Source organism: Homo sapiens, chromosome 6, assembly GCF_000001405.40.
Source record: "Homo sapiens chromosome 6, GRCh38.p14 Primary Assembly".
In the NCBI taxonomy this organism is placed as follows: Eukaryota; Metazoa; Chordata; class Mammalia; order Primates; family Hominidae; genus Homo; species Homo sapiens.
In genome coordinates this window covers 8,926,643-8,943,483 of record NC_000006.12, presented here as the reverse complement: position 1 = coordinate 8,943,483, position 16,841 = coordinate 8,926,643, and the positions used below count along the sequence as shown (strand labels likewise).

At 34.2% G+C, this 16,841-nt stretch overlaps 1 long non-coding RNA gene across 3 annotated transcripts in view; it reads right to left on the bottom strand.

Moving 5' to 3' along the window:
* Window positions 1-3,125: 3,125 nt before the first annotated feature.
* LOC112267952 (uncharacterized) overlaps window positions 3,126-16,841 on the bottom strand; it is a 34,285-nt gene continuing 20,569 nt past the window's right edge. Inside the window, exons 4-5 of one of the 3 annotated variants that reach the window (XR_007059440.1) lie at window positions 10,093-16,372; window positions 3,126-4,940 (exon numbers count right to left, since the gene is read on the bottom strand). This is a non-coding gene — a long non-coding RNA (uncharacterized LOC112267952). Of the gene's footprint in view, window positions 4,941-9,639; window positions 16,373-16,841 lie in introns of those variants that run through there. The other 2 variants (XR_007059441.1, XR_007059439.1) reach the window with 2 other exon arrangements.

Here is a 16,841-nt window from a genome sequence, read left to right as displayed (position 1 = left end):
CTTCTCTTCCTGGGCTGCTGAGTTAGCCTCAGCCTTCTCCTGATATCCACTCAGCCCCCTCCATTTCATGCTGATTTTCTAATTGCTTCCAAAGTGAACTTTATAAACCGTTAATTGGCTAAATGCCTCATGGGCTTCTCATTGTTCCAAGGTTAAAGATCAAAATCTGGACCTACCCGGTAAGGTCCTACCTAGTTGGCCCTTTTTTCATGTTAGTTTGACCGCAGTTTGTTTTTTCATCCACATCTATCAGCTTTCATTTTCTCCATCAAGCCAGACTTCCCTGGGCCATAGGACCTTTGCTCTTCCCTCTGTCTGGGTGTTTGAATAGAAAAAGACACAAAACAGACTTTGGGGTTCTTCTGTTGAGAAAAGATTGAGAGTTCTGAACATGTGTGAGAAGGCAGTGTGGTGGCAAAGTCAACTCCAGGGGTTAGAAGATCAGCTCCGTCACTTATTATCAGTCTAACCTTGAGCGAGTTCCTTATTCTCTCTACATGTCAAGTTTTGCATATGATGATAATTTAAGTACCTTGCCCAAAGGGTGGTGTGGGGATCAAGAGAGTTAATGGATGTAAAACCCTCATAGCATACCTGGTACAAAGTAAACACTCAATGCATGTTACTATTATTGTTCTTTTTTAAAAAAAAAAATTCAAGCTCTATCCAAATAATGTATCTTCAAAAGGCTCACATTCCATAAGGGCTGTGCTTATAGTGTTTAATGTATAAACCATTCCTGATTCTAATACATGCTGATATTGGAAAGGAACAATTTTTTTTCATGTGTATAGATTTGGGGGGTACAAGTGCAGTTTTGTTACATGGATATATTGCATTGTGGTGAATTCTGCACTTTTAGTGTACCCATCACTTGAATATGTATACTGTACCCATGAAGTAATTTCTCATTTCTCACCCCTGCTCCCACTTTTCCTTCTTTTGGAGTTCTCCAATGCCTATTATTCCACTCTCTATGTCCATGTGTATTAACTGTTTAGCTCCCACTTATAAGTGAGAACATGTGATATTTGTGAGTGAGATATTTGTGATATAAGTGAGAACATGTTTCTGAGTTATTTCACTTAGGATGATGGCCTCCAGATTCATCCATGCTGCTGCAAAACACATGATTTCATTCATTTTTATGCCTGAGTAGTATTCCATAGGATATAGATATATATATGTATCAAAAGAAAGGAATAATTTTAAATGCACCGAAGAGAATGAGCAGAATTTAATTCAAGAAGCGAAATTAACACTGAATGAGAAACAGTGATAATTTTCTTTGTCACACCTATCTCAGAGTTTTTCATTTCACTAATGAGGCAGAATTAATATCATGCCATACACCGCTCTGTTATCATCAAAAAGATCTTTCTTACTACGGCTCTTCATAAATATCCACTCAGAGTAAACAGTAGCTATTCTTGTAGCCCAGCTTGGGTGATTCTTATTTGTGTTTTGGTTGCACTCTATGTTAATGCTTTCATATTCTGAGTTTCTTCAACTGAATACAGTTGCCAAGAATTGTTTCCAAGTGCTCCCTGCGATTTTGGATTGTATTCCTGGAAAAATGAAAATGAATGTAATAGTTAAAATGGATTTTTCTCCCAATAACCCAGGCTCTTGTCTGGACAGGAGATCTGGCCTGAGTTTTCACAGGGCCAATAGTGTGAGCACAGCAAGACTGCATGCCAGCCTTGCTGCTGTCCATGACAGAGCAAACCACTTGGCCAGTTCATGCTGTTTGCAAGTTGAAACTTTGTTTTCCTGTCAGCCTTGTGAATCTGAGAGGATAGCTTTTAGCAACATCTTTATTTCATTTATTTTTTTAAATGCCCTCAGAAACCCTCTTCTATTCCAAATGCCTTTCTGTGAAGTATAGATTGCGTTCTCAGGCTGTTGTGGGGGCAGCTGCCAAACTGACCGAAAGCAAATAAATCAGGAGGGGAAGATGTGGCAGTTGCCACCCTGAATCGGCTACAGACCCACGGGGCACAAGTGGAACCTGCTGATTCTCATGTCTTATGGACTAGAGGTTTTGAATAAGTTTTGTGCTAGAATGTAATTGTCAGTCTTCTGAAAAAATATGCATTTTGAGTACATACAATTTTTAAATGTACATATGTACTTATTCATATATTAATATTACTTTCACAGCCTATATACATGATGTATACACATATATATTAACTATATTATGTATACAGGGTGTGGATGTAATATACACAAGTATAAAGTAATATATAAACACTTCTAATCAAATTTTTTAATACTCATACTTAATATAAAGAATATTCCCTAAAAGTGTTTGCTTTGGGGCTATGTTTTTCTAACTGTGTTACAATTCCTCAAATTCTGTTGAATCTCCTTTTTGAATCTGTCATACATCATCATGGTAATTCTTTGGGATTAAATATAACTTTTGAAAACACATAGAAGAGACAAATATTGTAACTAATTTTTAGTAGTCAAGTGTAAATATGTGGATTTATAGAGATATGTGTGTGTTTATATAAATGTGTTTATATATTTCTATACATAAATACATTATAAATGTATACATAATTTTAAAGATATACTGATAAAGTTTATTTACTCTTGTGACTCAGATTGCAAATGAACATAATTCCAAAATTAGAATAGCAAACCTGGTTTGAACAGAAGTAAAATGGGCTTGTGGGGTGGGTGCTCAGTGCAATTAAACAACTGTGAAGTGCCTCATCATCTCTGAGCTAAGTGTTGAATATAGGAAGGTAATTGGCATACTTCCAGTTTGACTGAATGGACATCGCTCATTTGAATATACAGATTCCAATATATACGCTTTATATCAGCGTCATGCATATTTGGCATCATGAAATAAGGAGACAAAAGAGGATGTCTGTTAAGAATATGGACTCCGGCCTCAGGCAGGCGTGGGATTATGTCTGACATTCACCAATTGGCGGCCCTCTGCCTTTGGGGAATTATTTAACCTCTCTATGCCTCACTTCCTTCACCCTTGAAATATGAACTTTTGCTGTGCTGATGAGTAAGATAATAGAACAAATATAGCTCAATAAGGTTTCTGGCACAATAACACAATTCCATTAAATATGCTACCAGTGGTAATTAAAAAATAGTTTCCTCACTTCACGTTTATTTTGGATCATCCATAATAAATCATTCCAACACAGTTTTTAAAATGGAGCAAACAAGTCAGTATAGACAAATCTAACTTTATACTCCCCCAAAATAGTTAAATTGCTGTAGACAGGCTCAGTATCAGTTTTATCCAGTTTTTAAAAATTACTAGATGTCATTAGCAAATGACCTACACTAAACGCTTGAGTACACACACAATTAAACCCCAGATAAAACTCTCTTTAAGTGGTAATTTCAATATTTTCTGTTTGCTTATTTGGTGTGATATTGCTTTTGGTTTAATTGGAAAAGAGACCAGATCAGGGTTTTTTGCTGGGAAAAGAGTGGGTTAACAAAAGCCTTTGAAGAGGTTACAATAAAGCCACTAAGGAAGAGTGACTTCAGGTACCATATTCCAGAATGTTTATTTTTCTTTCTCGCTAGTTTCAAATGGGTCAGCATATCAGTAAAACAAGAAGTAAACAAAGACCTATCTCAGATTACATGAGCTCCTGGGGCCATCAACAAAGTAAACATCAGTCACCCCGTGAAAAATACAACCATTACCTGTTATTGGACACTGGCAGGCCTGGCCTGACCACCAAGTGGCACAGTTAATGAATCCACTTATTTCTAATACAAATAAACCCGAGAGAGGAAGTGGTCAGCTAAAGCTGTCTCTGAAGTCAGATGGGGAGATGGTTAATAAAAACGCTCAGGGCTGACATTTCCTTTTTATTTGAAACATGCTTTTCTTGAGAATGACATGATCTTCTTGATATGGTTTAGTAAGCTTCAGCTGATACCAGGTTCTAAGGTCTTTTAGATGGCTTTTTTTTACAAATGAAAAAAAAAAAAGGACAAATTTTTAAAATCTATAGCGCAAGGCTTAAATACAAGGAAACACAATTATTTTTACAATTAGTCACTAGTTACTTAAAAATGCTGATGGTAACAAGATACATTTTTCCTGCAGAATAGTTTGTCAAGATTTTTGAAAAACCTTAAAATTGCTCCTAATCTCTGCTCAAGCAGTTCTACTTGCAGAAGTACAGGACAGGTTAAGAAAATAGTCAGAAATACATTCAAAAGTCTATGCAAAAGGACATCCAGGAACACTTTTTTTAAATGATGACAAAATGAGATAATCTAAAAGTTTAAAAACTAATGAACTAAATTATAGCATGTCCTTAAAATGGAATATTATTATATTTTCAAAAGCATTGAATGATGAAAGAATATATTCCTACAGTATAATGTTAGGTGAAAAAGGTAATATATGCTACAATGGAAATAATTTATATTTTTTGTGTGTTTTTGTCATTTCTGTATTTCAATTTTTATTGAATTTTGTTTTGTTAAAATATACACACAAAGATATACCCACATACTGATAGGTATTTTACATAATAATGAATATATGGATGTTAAAATGAATTATCTTAGTGGAATAATGCTAAAGATAATTTTTTGCATCATATTGTTTCTGTGTTTTCAAGTTTTGAATAATGAAAATACGTTTTACAAAGTTTCTTCGGAAAGCATAGTGTATGGAATTATCATGTATCTTGTTTAGGAAATTGTGTACTCAAATGGGAAGTTTTTTTTTTTTTTGATTCCCAAAACAAACAATATTCCTTGTTTCTTCATTTTCAGAGTCAGATTCTTTTGGTGTTTAATGTAAATTCTTCAGAGGCAGTTTTACGTATTTCTTCTCCTCCTTTGCTGACATAAATTAATAGCAATCAATCACCATCTGATGTTTAAACTCCATACATTAGAAGTCTTTCGGCATTCTCTCTCTTCCTAGGCTGAAAAATGACAGTTCCTTTAAATTTTTCATATTGATCTTCTTTTCTACTCATTTAATCTTTTCTATGTGGGTATCAAAAACAATTCTGTCACGGCAAAAGTTTGAAAAGATGGTGGAAAAAGGATTTGCAGTACTATAATGCTTAACTAAATAATAAAATGGTCCACATTTTTGGCATTCTTTTTCTTCTTACCTTTGAAATAATTGAAAATGAATTAAGGCATTTATAATTTCCCATTTCTATTAAAAAAAATCCCAAATTGTTTTTTATAAATAAGCAATTGGAATTTATGCTCTTGTTTAAATTAGGAAAGTATACATTGTATTAAACCAATTTATAAATGTCCCAATAAAATAAATATTATCACATAGAGTGTTTTTCAAAAGATATGGGTCCTATAGTATATTAAACACTAATTTAAAATATTTCCTCACCTTATAATTAATTCAACATTAATTAAAAATACCCTTATTGAACACCCATATATTATAAATATTAATGACATGTATTCCTTAATATCTACTTTTTTTGCTCATTTGCTTTTTAATATTTTGCTATGAACTACCTCATCATTATTATATTCTAGCACACCCTTATGTATCCTCGACAACTGTCTACACCAAGCTCAAGTATTAGCAAGTGATACAAACTTATACAACACTTGGGTGGTGGTGGAGGCAGGGATACAGAGGGGAAAAAAAAAAGAAAAATATAGAACATTAGTGTGACTGAGGTTACATTTATTTATATTTATATTTATATATCCAGTATTCAAGAAAATGTGGTAAATATACACCATGGAATACTATGCAGCCATAAAAAGGAATGAGATCATGTCCTTGCAGGGACATGGATGGAGCTGGAGGCCATTATCCTTAGAAAATTAATGCAGAAACAGAAAACCAAATAGCACACGTTCTCATTTAAAAGTGGGAGCTAAATGATGAAAACACATGGACACATGGTGGGGAACAACGCACACTGGGGCCTGTCAGAGGGTCAGGGGCTGGGAGGAAAGAGAGGATCAGGAAGAATATCTAGTGGATGCTGGGCTTAATACCTGGGGGATGGGATGATTTGTGCGGCAAACCTCCATGGCACACCTTTACCTATGTAACAAAGCTGCACATCCTGCACCTGTGCCCCTGAGCTTAAAATAAAAGTTGGAAATTAAAAATATATATATATTACATAATATAATACTATATATTTACATATACAATGTATATTATATATTTGCATATAATACATATTTACATATATAATATATAATTATATATAATATATAATACAATATATAATACATATTCACATATATTGTATATAATTTACATATATTATACGTTATATATTATATATTTACAATATATTATATATTATATACTTACATGTTATATATTATATATAACATGTAAATATGTTACATATAATATATAACATGTGTTATATATAATATATAACATGTGTTATATATAACACGTTATATATAATATATAAATTGTCTAATTATATATTATAACAATTATATAATACATATTATATATTTACATATATATTACATATATTATGTATATGTCATATGGTTTGGCTCTGTGTCCGTGCTCAAATCTTATCTTGAACTATAATTCTCATGTGCCCACATGTCGAGAGAGAGACCTGGTGGGAGGTGAATGAATCATGGGGGCAGGTCCCCCCATGCTATTCTCATGATATTGAGTGAGTTCTCACAAGATCTGATGGTTTTATAAGGGGCTCTTTCCCCTTTGCACTCTCTCTCTTTCCTACCACCTTGTGAAGAAGGTGCTTGCTCCTTCTTCACCTTCTGCCGCGAATATAAGTTTCCTGAGGCGTCCCCAGCCATGTGGAACTGTGAGTCAATTAAACCTCTTTCCTTTATGAATTACCCAGTCATGGGAAGTATCTTTATAGCAGTGTGAAAACAAACTAATACAATATATAACATATGTACATATATAACACTTATAATATTTTATAATACTATATATATCAGTTACATTGCTTATTTAGAAATGCATATATATGCTTTTCTATCACTTTAGCAAGATATGAAATAATCAGGAAGTTCTAATCTTCAAAATAGAATAAAATAATGCTAATCGTTACTACTGTCACCTCTATGCTCCCTTCCTTTATGAATATAAGTTTCTAGTATAATAGAGTCTAATTTACTGAGTTAATTACAGTACATTTTAAATGTTTCTGGAAAAGTTATTATCATTTTTGAGCATCTACTATTGTATTTCCTTTCCCAGAAAGTAATGGGCATCTATCAGTTCTGCAAATCTTGTTCTTTTTCAACTATTGGTATGGTATTAAACAGATTACTAATTACTATCTTATCAAAATTTTATTCAACCAAATGCCTTTATTGTAGCTCATCTGAGTCGTACATGTAGTTACTGTTTGTGTTGATACTATGTGTCCTACTAGAAATAGGAGCAATTGAAATATAGGCTAGCTTAAACTTTAGATTCAGTGAGACGTGACTTCTTATGCGTCTGTTCACATTTTCCACTTTGGCTGTCATGCTTACCTATCTTTTCCTAACTGAACCTGTTGGAGGAAAGTTCTTGTGTCTCACTTCATCTTCAGAGTGGTTTCTGGCTCAACTTGAGGTGCCAAAGGTGCAAAGGTTAATCCAATTGAAGACAATGGTTCTTTGTTCTTCCCTACCTAAAATTCCAGTCATGCAGTGTAATAAGAGGACTCAGAAGGGCAAGAAATGGCCATGCCATGCAAATAGTAGCAATGTCCAAACAGGTTAAGTCCTTTCCTCATATATTACCAACTGAGCCAAATATACAGAAATAAGTAAACTTATAACTCTTTTTTATTTTTTGAGATGGAGTCTCACTCTGTCACCCCAAGCTGAAGTGCAGTGGCACAATCTCGGCTCACTGCAACTTACTTATCCCTCCTGGGTTCAAGTGATTCTTCTGCCTCGGCCTCCTGAGTAGCTGGGACTACAGGCATGCACCACCACACCCGGCTAATTTTTTATATTTTTGATAGAGATGGGGTTTCACCATGTTGGCCAGGCTGGTCTCGAACTCCTGACCTCAAGTGATCCACCCGCCTCGGCCTCCCAAAGTGCTGGGATTACAGGCGTGAGAGCCACTGCGCCCGGCCAGTAAACTTATAATTTAAGTCAGGATAATATTTTGAGTTCTGCATTCTCTCTGACCAAAGACTACAGAACTATCACATGAAAGTGAAGGTTAGAACTAACATTCATATGCAGTTACATTCAACATCATTTTATCTAGGTGCCCAACAGTTTTCTCAGAGATCATCTTTGGCTTTCAAGTCAGCTATAGTATTGACTCCTGCCTCAGTCACATATGAGCATTGAGCAAGGTAGTTAATCTTACTGACTCTTACTTTTCTTGGCAGGAAAGGGGGAGAAATAACTTAACTCACAGAGTTACAATGGGAGTTAAATAAAAAAGTAATCATAAAGTGCCTAGCAAAATGCCTGGCACATAGTGGATATATAATAAATCTTAATTTCTTTTTGCTTGAATGGCCAACTTGTGGCATTTGATTCTTCCAGTTATTGTCAATTGATTTTTCTATTTATAAAATAAATTCTCCTCAATTAATAATTGATTCATTAACTTTCAAAAAACCAGCATTAAACTCCTTTCAGTGTAAGTATGACAAACACTTGGAAAATATTATGTATTCTCATTCAAGATATTTATTCTCAGAATACTTATAAGCGAGATGCTGATTACTTATACTAAGTAACTATTATGAAGGCATTTTTCTTTATTGTTTAGATACAGAGGTAAGCAACATGAAATTGATTTTTCCTCATTTTTTAAGTTCAGGGGTACATGCTCAGGTACACGTGCAGGTTTGCTACATAGGTAAACGTGTGCCATGGTGGTTTGCTGCACAGATCATCCCCTCATCCTATGGGAATGATCAGCATCCATTAGCTGTTCTTCCTGATGCTCTCCCTCCCCCACCCCTGGACAGGCCCCAGTGTGTGTTGTTCCCCTGCGTGTGTCCACATGTTTTCATCATTTGGCTCCCACTTATAAGTGAGAACATGTGGTGTTTGGTTTTTGGTTCCTGCAGCAACATGAAATTTTTAAAAATTCGAATTTCTCATCTGGAATTTTCTTTGTGGAGAATGCCACAGAAAAGAAAAGCCCACTAGAATAAACACTGTCTATATCATATAAAAACAGAACAAAAAAATTAAGAAAAGTTATTGGTTGGGGAAGAGGCTAGAAAAATTGAAGAAGTGTTGTGTTACTGAGTTTGTCCCATATTTCAAACAATTTCATGAATTATTTCTGTTTATAATCATAGTACCTCACTTTCTCTAATTATCACATAATTAGCTGTACATGAAATTGAGCTCTTGGCTGACTCCGGTTGCACTGCCTAAGAGTTATCCCTGCTCCATAAGAAGCTGTTTTAAAATAAATAAATAGATAATAAATTGATCTCTAAGCAAAAATTCAACTTCGATAAAGTGTTGGGAACACTATTATATATCAGGCTATCGTGAAATTTCATTCTGAGAGTGTGTTCTTTCAAGTTTTATCCCAGTTTACATATGCAACCTTAAATAATCTTGTTCACACTGCCCATGTAGAAAGAATCCACTCTATTCACTCACAATCCATTGTTACATAAGTAACAAAAAGTTTCCCTTTAATTTCAAGACATAAAATCAGAAAGCTTGGGAGCGCCTGAGCTGTCATGGTATTGCTGGAGTTCCTGTTTCAATACAGCCAAGCTACATTTTCCTATAGGACCTAAAGTCGGCCACAAGTTGTCATTTAAAGATAAGAATGAAGGGGAAAACACATCCTACGATATAGGAAAGAATGTGTCATGGTCAAGATATAAAATCAGAAAAACCCTGGAATAAATGGCTCTCTACTTCAAGTAGGAATAATCAGAGTTCTGATAAAGAAACTACAAGAGAGTTGAAGTACAATTCTTTTCCTCTGGAAGGGGACCATATTCCATTTTGAATCATAAGAATGCAATTGGAAAAAAGTTATCTTCAGACACTTTTCATTTATCTCTTGGCCCATTTAATTTGCTTTCTTTAATCTCATTGCTTAAGTACATAGAACCCTAATTCTTTCAGAGATCTCATTACCTTCTGGGCAAGCTATAGGTATTTACTTCTTCTGTTCTTTTGCCTCCTCGATTTCTTGATCCCTTTCTTAATATCTGATGATTGCCTGTGTGAGTTTCAAAAGAAGGAAACTGACTGTATCTGACTCCAGAAAATGACCAGGATCCCCGTTCTTCTCCAAAACTTTAATCCATTTGGCAAGTTATTGTATTAGTTCTTAGAATGTTCTTTCAAGATAAATATTACTAACTCTTTTTCTAGAAACAATAAAGTGGGCAGAAGAATTATATTTTTCCAGTCATAATATGGAATGGTAAAACAGATATTCCTTGCCTCCTGAAATTTCAAGCCAGTCAATTGCTTTACTAGTCTAGCAATTTAGTGTTTTCTTTTCCATTTCTTATATAAATTTTAAAAAGCAGCATAAAACACGTAAGATACTATAAATGCCATGGCTCAATTTGTTGCACCATTTTACAAAAATGAAATCAGTTGCATTAGATTATAGGAAGGAACAGCATTTTTACCTTTGCCTGAAATTGTTACACATCATGCATTAATAATCTTTGGCCTGTAACCGAAGGAATATAGTTTTAATTTGCATGTAAATAAAGCAGATCTCCCATTGCAGACAATTTTCTTTTATTAGTCCCCATAAACAAGATGGCATTAAGGTGCATAGCTTGCTTCAGTGGGACATGAGGATAAATCAAAGGGATAAACAAGGCAATATCATGAAGAAAAGGAAAGTCACTGTAGATACACTTAAATAGTTAACATTCAAAATTTTTGCTATCAGTTAAAGAAATGCTAAACCCTAAGAGATTTCTGCTTACCAAACTTATACTTTTAGAAGACATAGTAAATATACACCCTAGTAAATATCTCATGTATTAGCAATTCATAAACCTCTAATTTTCTATGGTATTTTTACTTTATTTTCATACTAATTAAGTATATACTAAGTACATAGTATACAGTACTTTCATAAATTGTATTCATATATATTAAAAAATCTAATGGATAAAAAATCTAATGGATAAGTATAGCGGATGCTATTGGCTTTGTTTTACCAGTGAAGCAATTGAGTGTCAGTGGTTTGACCAAGTTCACCAAGCTGGCTCAAGAAGAATACAAGGACTCATGGTCCATGTGCATTACTGTTCCAATACGACAAGGGTTACCACTGCACAACTAGAATCGACTTGAACGTATTTGTTTATTCTTTTATTTAACATGTATTTATTGAGTGTCCATTTTTGTTAGGAATGTTTACCTCCTACTTCCTCTATGGATAATGTTCTTTTCATTCGAACCTTCTAGACTGCTGAGATAAAGGCCGTAAGAATATTTTAGCTGTTAATCATGTCGTGCAGGCAAACTTTCCCCAGATGCCAGCCAAAGGTGAACTGACTCAATGATAATTCTTCATAGTAAACAACAACAAATTCCACTCTCCTTTACCCTTGGACTTTCTACATATTTCAAGCAGTAAAAGTTTTAAGACAGGTTCTCATGAGCAAGACTCCTAAAAGGAAAGAACCACTGAAGAACGATCAGACCATATTTTTACATCAAATAAATCCCTAGGAAAATTAAGTTGCCAGATTAGCTAGTTTGACCCCAAATGATCAATAATAAAGTATACCACCTAATTTTCTAAATTTAGGTGCTTAAAAATGTGTAATCTGTTAGACCACAGCTACAATTCCTTGTTTATGCTTGTCATCTCTGTCTCTGTCTCTCTCTGCCTGCCTGCCTATCTGTCCTTTTTATAAAAAACTAAATTTTAAAAATGCTTAGTGGTGTAAAAAGAATATATTCAGTAGAGGATGTCAAAACATGTTTATGTTGTCATATACTTATAACATGAATTAAAATGTACTTGAATATGAGCAATATGTCTCTAAAGTTAAAAAAATCAGCATAAATTTAAATGAATTCAGGTCTACAATATAATCAGGATAAAACCTTTGTTGGAGGTAGCATGAAATTACATATGAAAATAATCCATTTCCCTTTGATGTAATCATTCAACCAATAATAATTTTCCTTAAAAAACAAATTTAAGAACATATTTGTTTCTTAAAAATTATAAAATATATGTGTAATGATGTTTGTAATGATATTATCAAAGCACTAAAAGTTATAAGTAGCCAAAATGTCCAAAAGCTATAGTTCTATTATACAAATCATAAAATTTTCTTGAAGTAAAATAATGTATCTTTTAAAATAATACTCATAAGAGGATTATTAATGACATAGGGAATTATTCATTAAACATTATTGAATTAAAACTTGATATTCATTGTATAGTATGATACCAGTTTTATTCTAAAGTACGCATATTCACACAACAGAGTAAATCCTGAAAGTGTATAAATCGAATGTTTAGTTTGCAAGATTGAAATTTACATTTTCCATGAGATTTTGTTCTTACATTTTTCCAAATGGTTAATATATATCTATAAAGTTCAAAAAAGCATGTGATATTTCAAATAAGCATAGGCTTGATCAAAATGCATCTGACCATTTATTCAACAAATGTCTATATAGAGTAGTGATTAAAAAGATAGCTCAAGTTCTTAATTCGACCTTGGGTGGGTTACTTAACCTTCTTAAGACTCAGATTGTAATCTCATCTATCTCAAACAATTAGTGCGAAGTTTTTTGAGAGTTTTAATTTTTGTGAGACTTAATGTAAGATAACACATTGTTGTACAGTTTAGCATATAGTAAGCTCTCAGTAAATCCTAGCTACTTCTGAGCACCCATTGTGTACCAGGAATGAGGATATAAGAATAAATTAACAATTCTTGTGATGCAGAAATCCAGTGTTAAAAATATTGGCCTGAATTAATCAGATAATTGCCCAATTTCTGCCTAAGTCAGAATACCTTAAAATTGGACAAATATAGGTATTAGAAGAATTTAGGTTATTCAGATCATTAATGGAAATAGAAATTAAATTTATCTAGGTGCTTATAATATTAAAAATATTCACTCAGTGTTGTTTTGTACTTGTTATGACTATCTTTCAAACAAAAGGAGTATTTGGCAAGGTGAGCTGAGATCAAAGTAGCAACCAGTTTTCCACGATAACTATAGGCTGCAACTAGCTGACCCGATTGCTTGATTGCTTAGGGCGCTTTGCTGATGAGGTCATCTTAGGTCCAGTTAATTTGGCTCACCATAGCTCAGTTTGCTTTTCTGTACTTCATGGTGATTGACAGTAGGCAAAATCATGGCCAAGATGCAAATGAAAATGAGGCCAGAGACTTGTCCCCTGAGTAAGTCTGATGAGTAATGAGTATTCTACTGTGAAACCCAAGTGGAAGTCATTTCAATTCAATGGAATGAATATCTCTTGAGAGCTTATTATGAGCCAAGCATTGTCATAAATACTAAGGATTCAAATATGAATAAGCTATAATCCTTTCCCTTGAGGTGTTTATAGTCATTTGGGAGAAATATGGGTAAATACACAATCACAGTGTGCTGTAGATAGTATGAGAAAGACCCACACATGATGCTAGGAAAGTATAGAAAAGGGGTAGCTAGGCTGGACATGATAGCTCATGCCTGTAATCCTAGCACTTTGAGAGGCCAAGGCATGAGGGTTGCTTGAGCCCAGGACTTTGAGATCGACCTGGGCACCATAGTGAGACCCCATCTCTACTTATAATAATAATAAAAATAATTAGCCAGCCATGTTTGTGCATGCCTGTAGTCCCAATTACTTGGGAAATTGAGGTGGGAGGATCGCCTGAGCCCAGAAGTTGGAGGCTGCAGTAAGCTATGATCAGGCCACTTCACTCCAGACTAGGCAACAGAGCAAGGCCTTGTCTCAGAAAAAGAAAAAGAAAAAGAAAAAGAAAAAGAAAAGGGTGCACTTAGCCTAGCCAGGAGTATGTGTGGTAGAGATATATCTGAGTGTTTGTGTATGTGTATGTGTGGAGGCAGGGGGCAGAGTATCAGGGAAGACTTTCTCCTAGAGAAGATGATAGTCAAGAAGACAAAACGATTATCAAAGGTCCTATTAGAATGTGCTTTTTATATATGCAGTCTGTCATTGACTGAAAGTCATTATGTGGCACGTGAACTGTATATCCTCTTGTTTCAAAGAGGTCACTGTTGTTCAGTCTAAGCACTGAACAAACACACCCACAGACAAAAGCATAAAAGTTACAGTGAGACGCAAGCATGAGAGGACTCCCCTCTCCCGTCTTCAAGTGGGAACATCAGAGCTTGCTCCCCTAAAGAGTTAATGGCTTACATAATCTGTGTCTTCAATTTCTCCACCTCAGCTTGCATATACGGGCACTCGTATATACCTGTATACAAATATACACAACTTTTCTTGTTTCTTATATATGGCTTGAGGCCTCTTATTTAAAAGTGTTTTGGAAAATCAGTCTGGATTTCAAAAAGCAGATTGATGCATAATCTCTACTGCTTGGAAATAGTCCTACGTGGGACACCTGATATGCATGTTTCTAATAATTGGCATTGTAACTTTTATAGAAGTTTCTTGCTAATTACCATGAAGGAAGAGGAAATTTCTTCATACCTAAGTATACAGGTATATGCAATATATTTTAAAACTATATTTTTAATATTAGTTTTTAAATAGTTTTCAGAGATTTAAAAACTGCCATGTCTGTGTTTGGGACATTTGGCTCAGATTAACAGGAAGGGAATTTAGGTTGAATTAGAACACAATTCTTTTAAATGATTCTCAAACCTCACTGATATAATAAACAAATGTAAATATGAATACCAGTTTTGCTGATCATAGCCAGACTATATAAAGCAATTTCCTTTTAAGAGTTGTTTTAGCATTCATTTATATATATTTTTTTAAAAAAATAAAAGATATATTTTAATTGTCCCAAACTCCCAGAAATCTATAGGGGCAGAAACCCCAATGCTTGAAATCTAAGGATTTTTAAGTGTTGAATGTTTCCATCATCTCGTCTTTTCTCTTTGCAGCAGTTGTCAAGACTAATTGCCTTTTCTTGGGTAACTAGGGCCAAATAAATGCCCTCTTACAAAAACAGAACACAGGAGGATGGTAACCAGTTTGGTGACCGGAGTAAGTGTGTGCTATGAAATGGGTAAAAAGGGCAGTTAGGAAACAAGAGGAAAGGTGTTTGCTTCCTGACCTGTATGACTGATGTCAGGGAGGCATTCAGGGAGCTTCTTCCACCAGAGTTTAATACCAATCATCCCAACGTTTTTGACCTTGCATGACTTTTTAAAATAAAATAGGGTTAATTGATTTATTTATAAAAATAGAAAGAATGAATAACCTTACCATGTCAACAATCTTCATTTCTAAAAATATATTTTTGTGACTCTTTGCTAGACTTGAACACAATCAGATTTTGCTTTAAAAATAGTTGCTTTTGGAGGCATTAGTTGAGCCTGTCATTTTTTTAATTTGCATACTTATTGACAACTTTACCTCACTAAAATGTAAGCTCTGTGAGAAGACGGACCTTGTCTGTCTTGTTCTTCATAGAATTTAGATAGAACACCCACCTTGCGCATGGGAGGATTTTCAATAAATGTTTGTTGAATAAGAGTGTGAGGGAATAAATGAATGAATGAATAAATTAATGCTTACTTTTGAAACATGTCTTCATTGTTCTTTGTAATATATTCTGCATCTTTCCCCACAGAGTACAGAATGCACTTAAGTATAATATCAGATTTCCTTTCTGTTATACATTGGAACTATTCCATGTGTCATCCTTAAAGATACATTACAGTTAATAAGATATGGCAAAAAGTTATCATCAGAAACTGGCCTTTTAGTGGTCAAATTAGAGATATGTTTTGCATTTTCTTGTGCATTTTAAATACAAATATTCCTACATTTGTTATAACTCAATGTAAATTGATGAAAAAATCACTCAAGAGCTTGTTTAACTTAAAAATATCTAGGTAATTGAAGTACTAAACTAATTGCACAAAATTCAAAAAGGCAGCATTTGCTAGGTATCTCAGAAGTAAGCAAAGGCTATTTGTTGTTAGGTTAATCTTCTCTATCCCCTGAGCTTACCTCTTACCCCTCTTTGATTTAAGTTGATAGTTGCTCTTAAGGCACAAATTTTCTTGTTTCTTACATACGGCTTGAGGCCTCTTATTTAAAAATGATTTGGAAAATCAGTCTGGATTTCAAAAAGCAGATTGATGCATGATGTCTACTGCTTGGAAATGGTCCTCCATGGAACTCCTGATATGCGCGTTTCCAGTAATTGGCATTGTAACTTTTGTAGAAGTTTCTTGCTAATTACTATGAAGGAAGAGGAAATTTCTTTAGACTTAAGACTGTCAGTCCCCATTCAAATGTCTGATTGGGTGGTTCTTCACCATGTTTCACTTCAGAATCCCTGTAGCATGTGCAGTTAAAAAATACAGCTGCCCCTGAAGATTTTGCTCAATGTATTTAAGGAAAGAATAGACGGATGATCATACCTAGTTGATGAATCCTATTTTAGGGTCACACTAGTAATATTAACCATAGATGGATCTCATAGTAATGATGACCAATATTTCATGATGAGACCCGATGAGACAAGCGATGTGATAGTGAACAAAAGGCAGTTTTATTTACATATTGAACTTACACTAATTATTGTTATCCATAATAATTCCTACCATTTGTTGAGCACTCACTAAGTGTTAAGGGGACCAAGACTAGTCATGAATTGTCATCTCATTTAAAAACAAAAACAGATGAAAAGAAGGAGTATTTCATATAG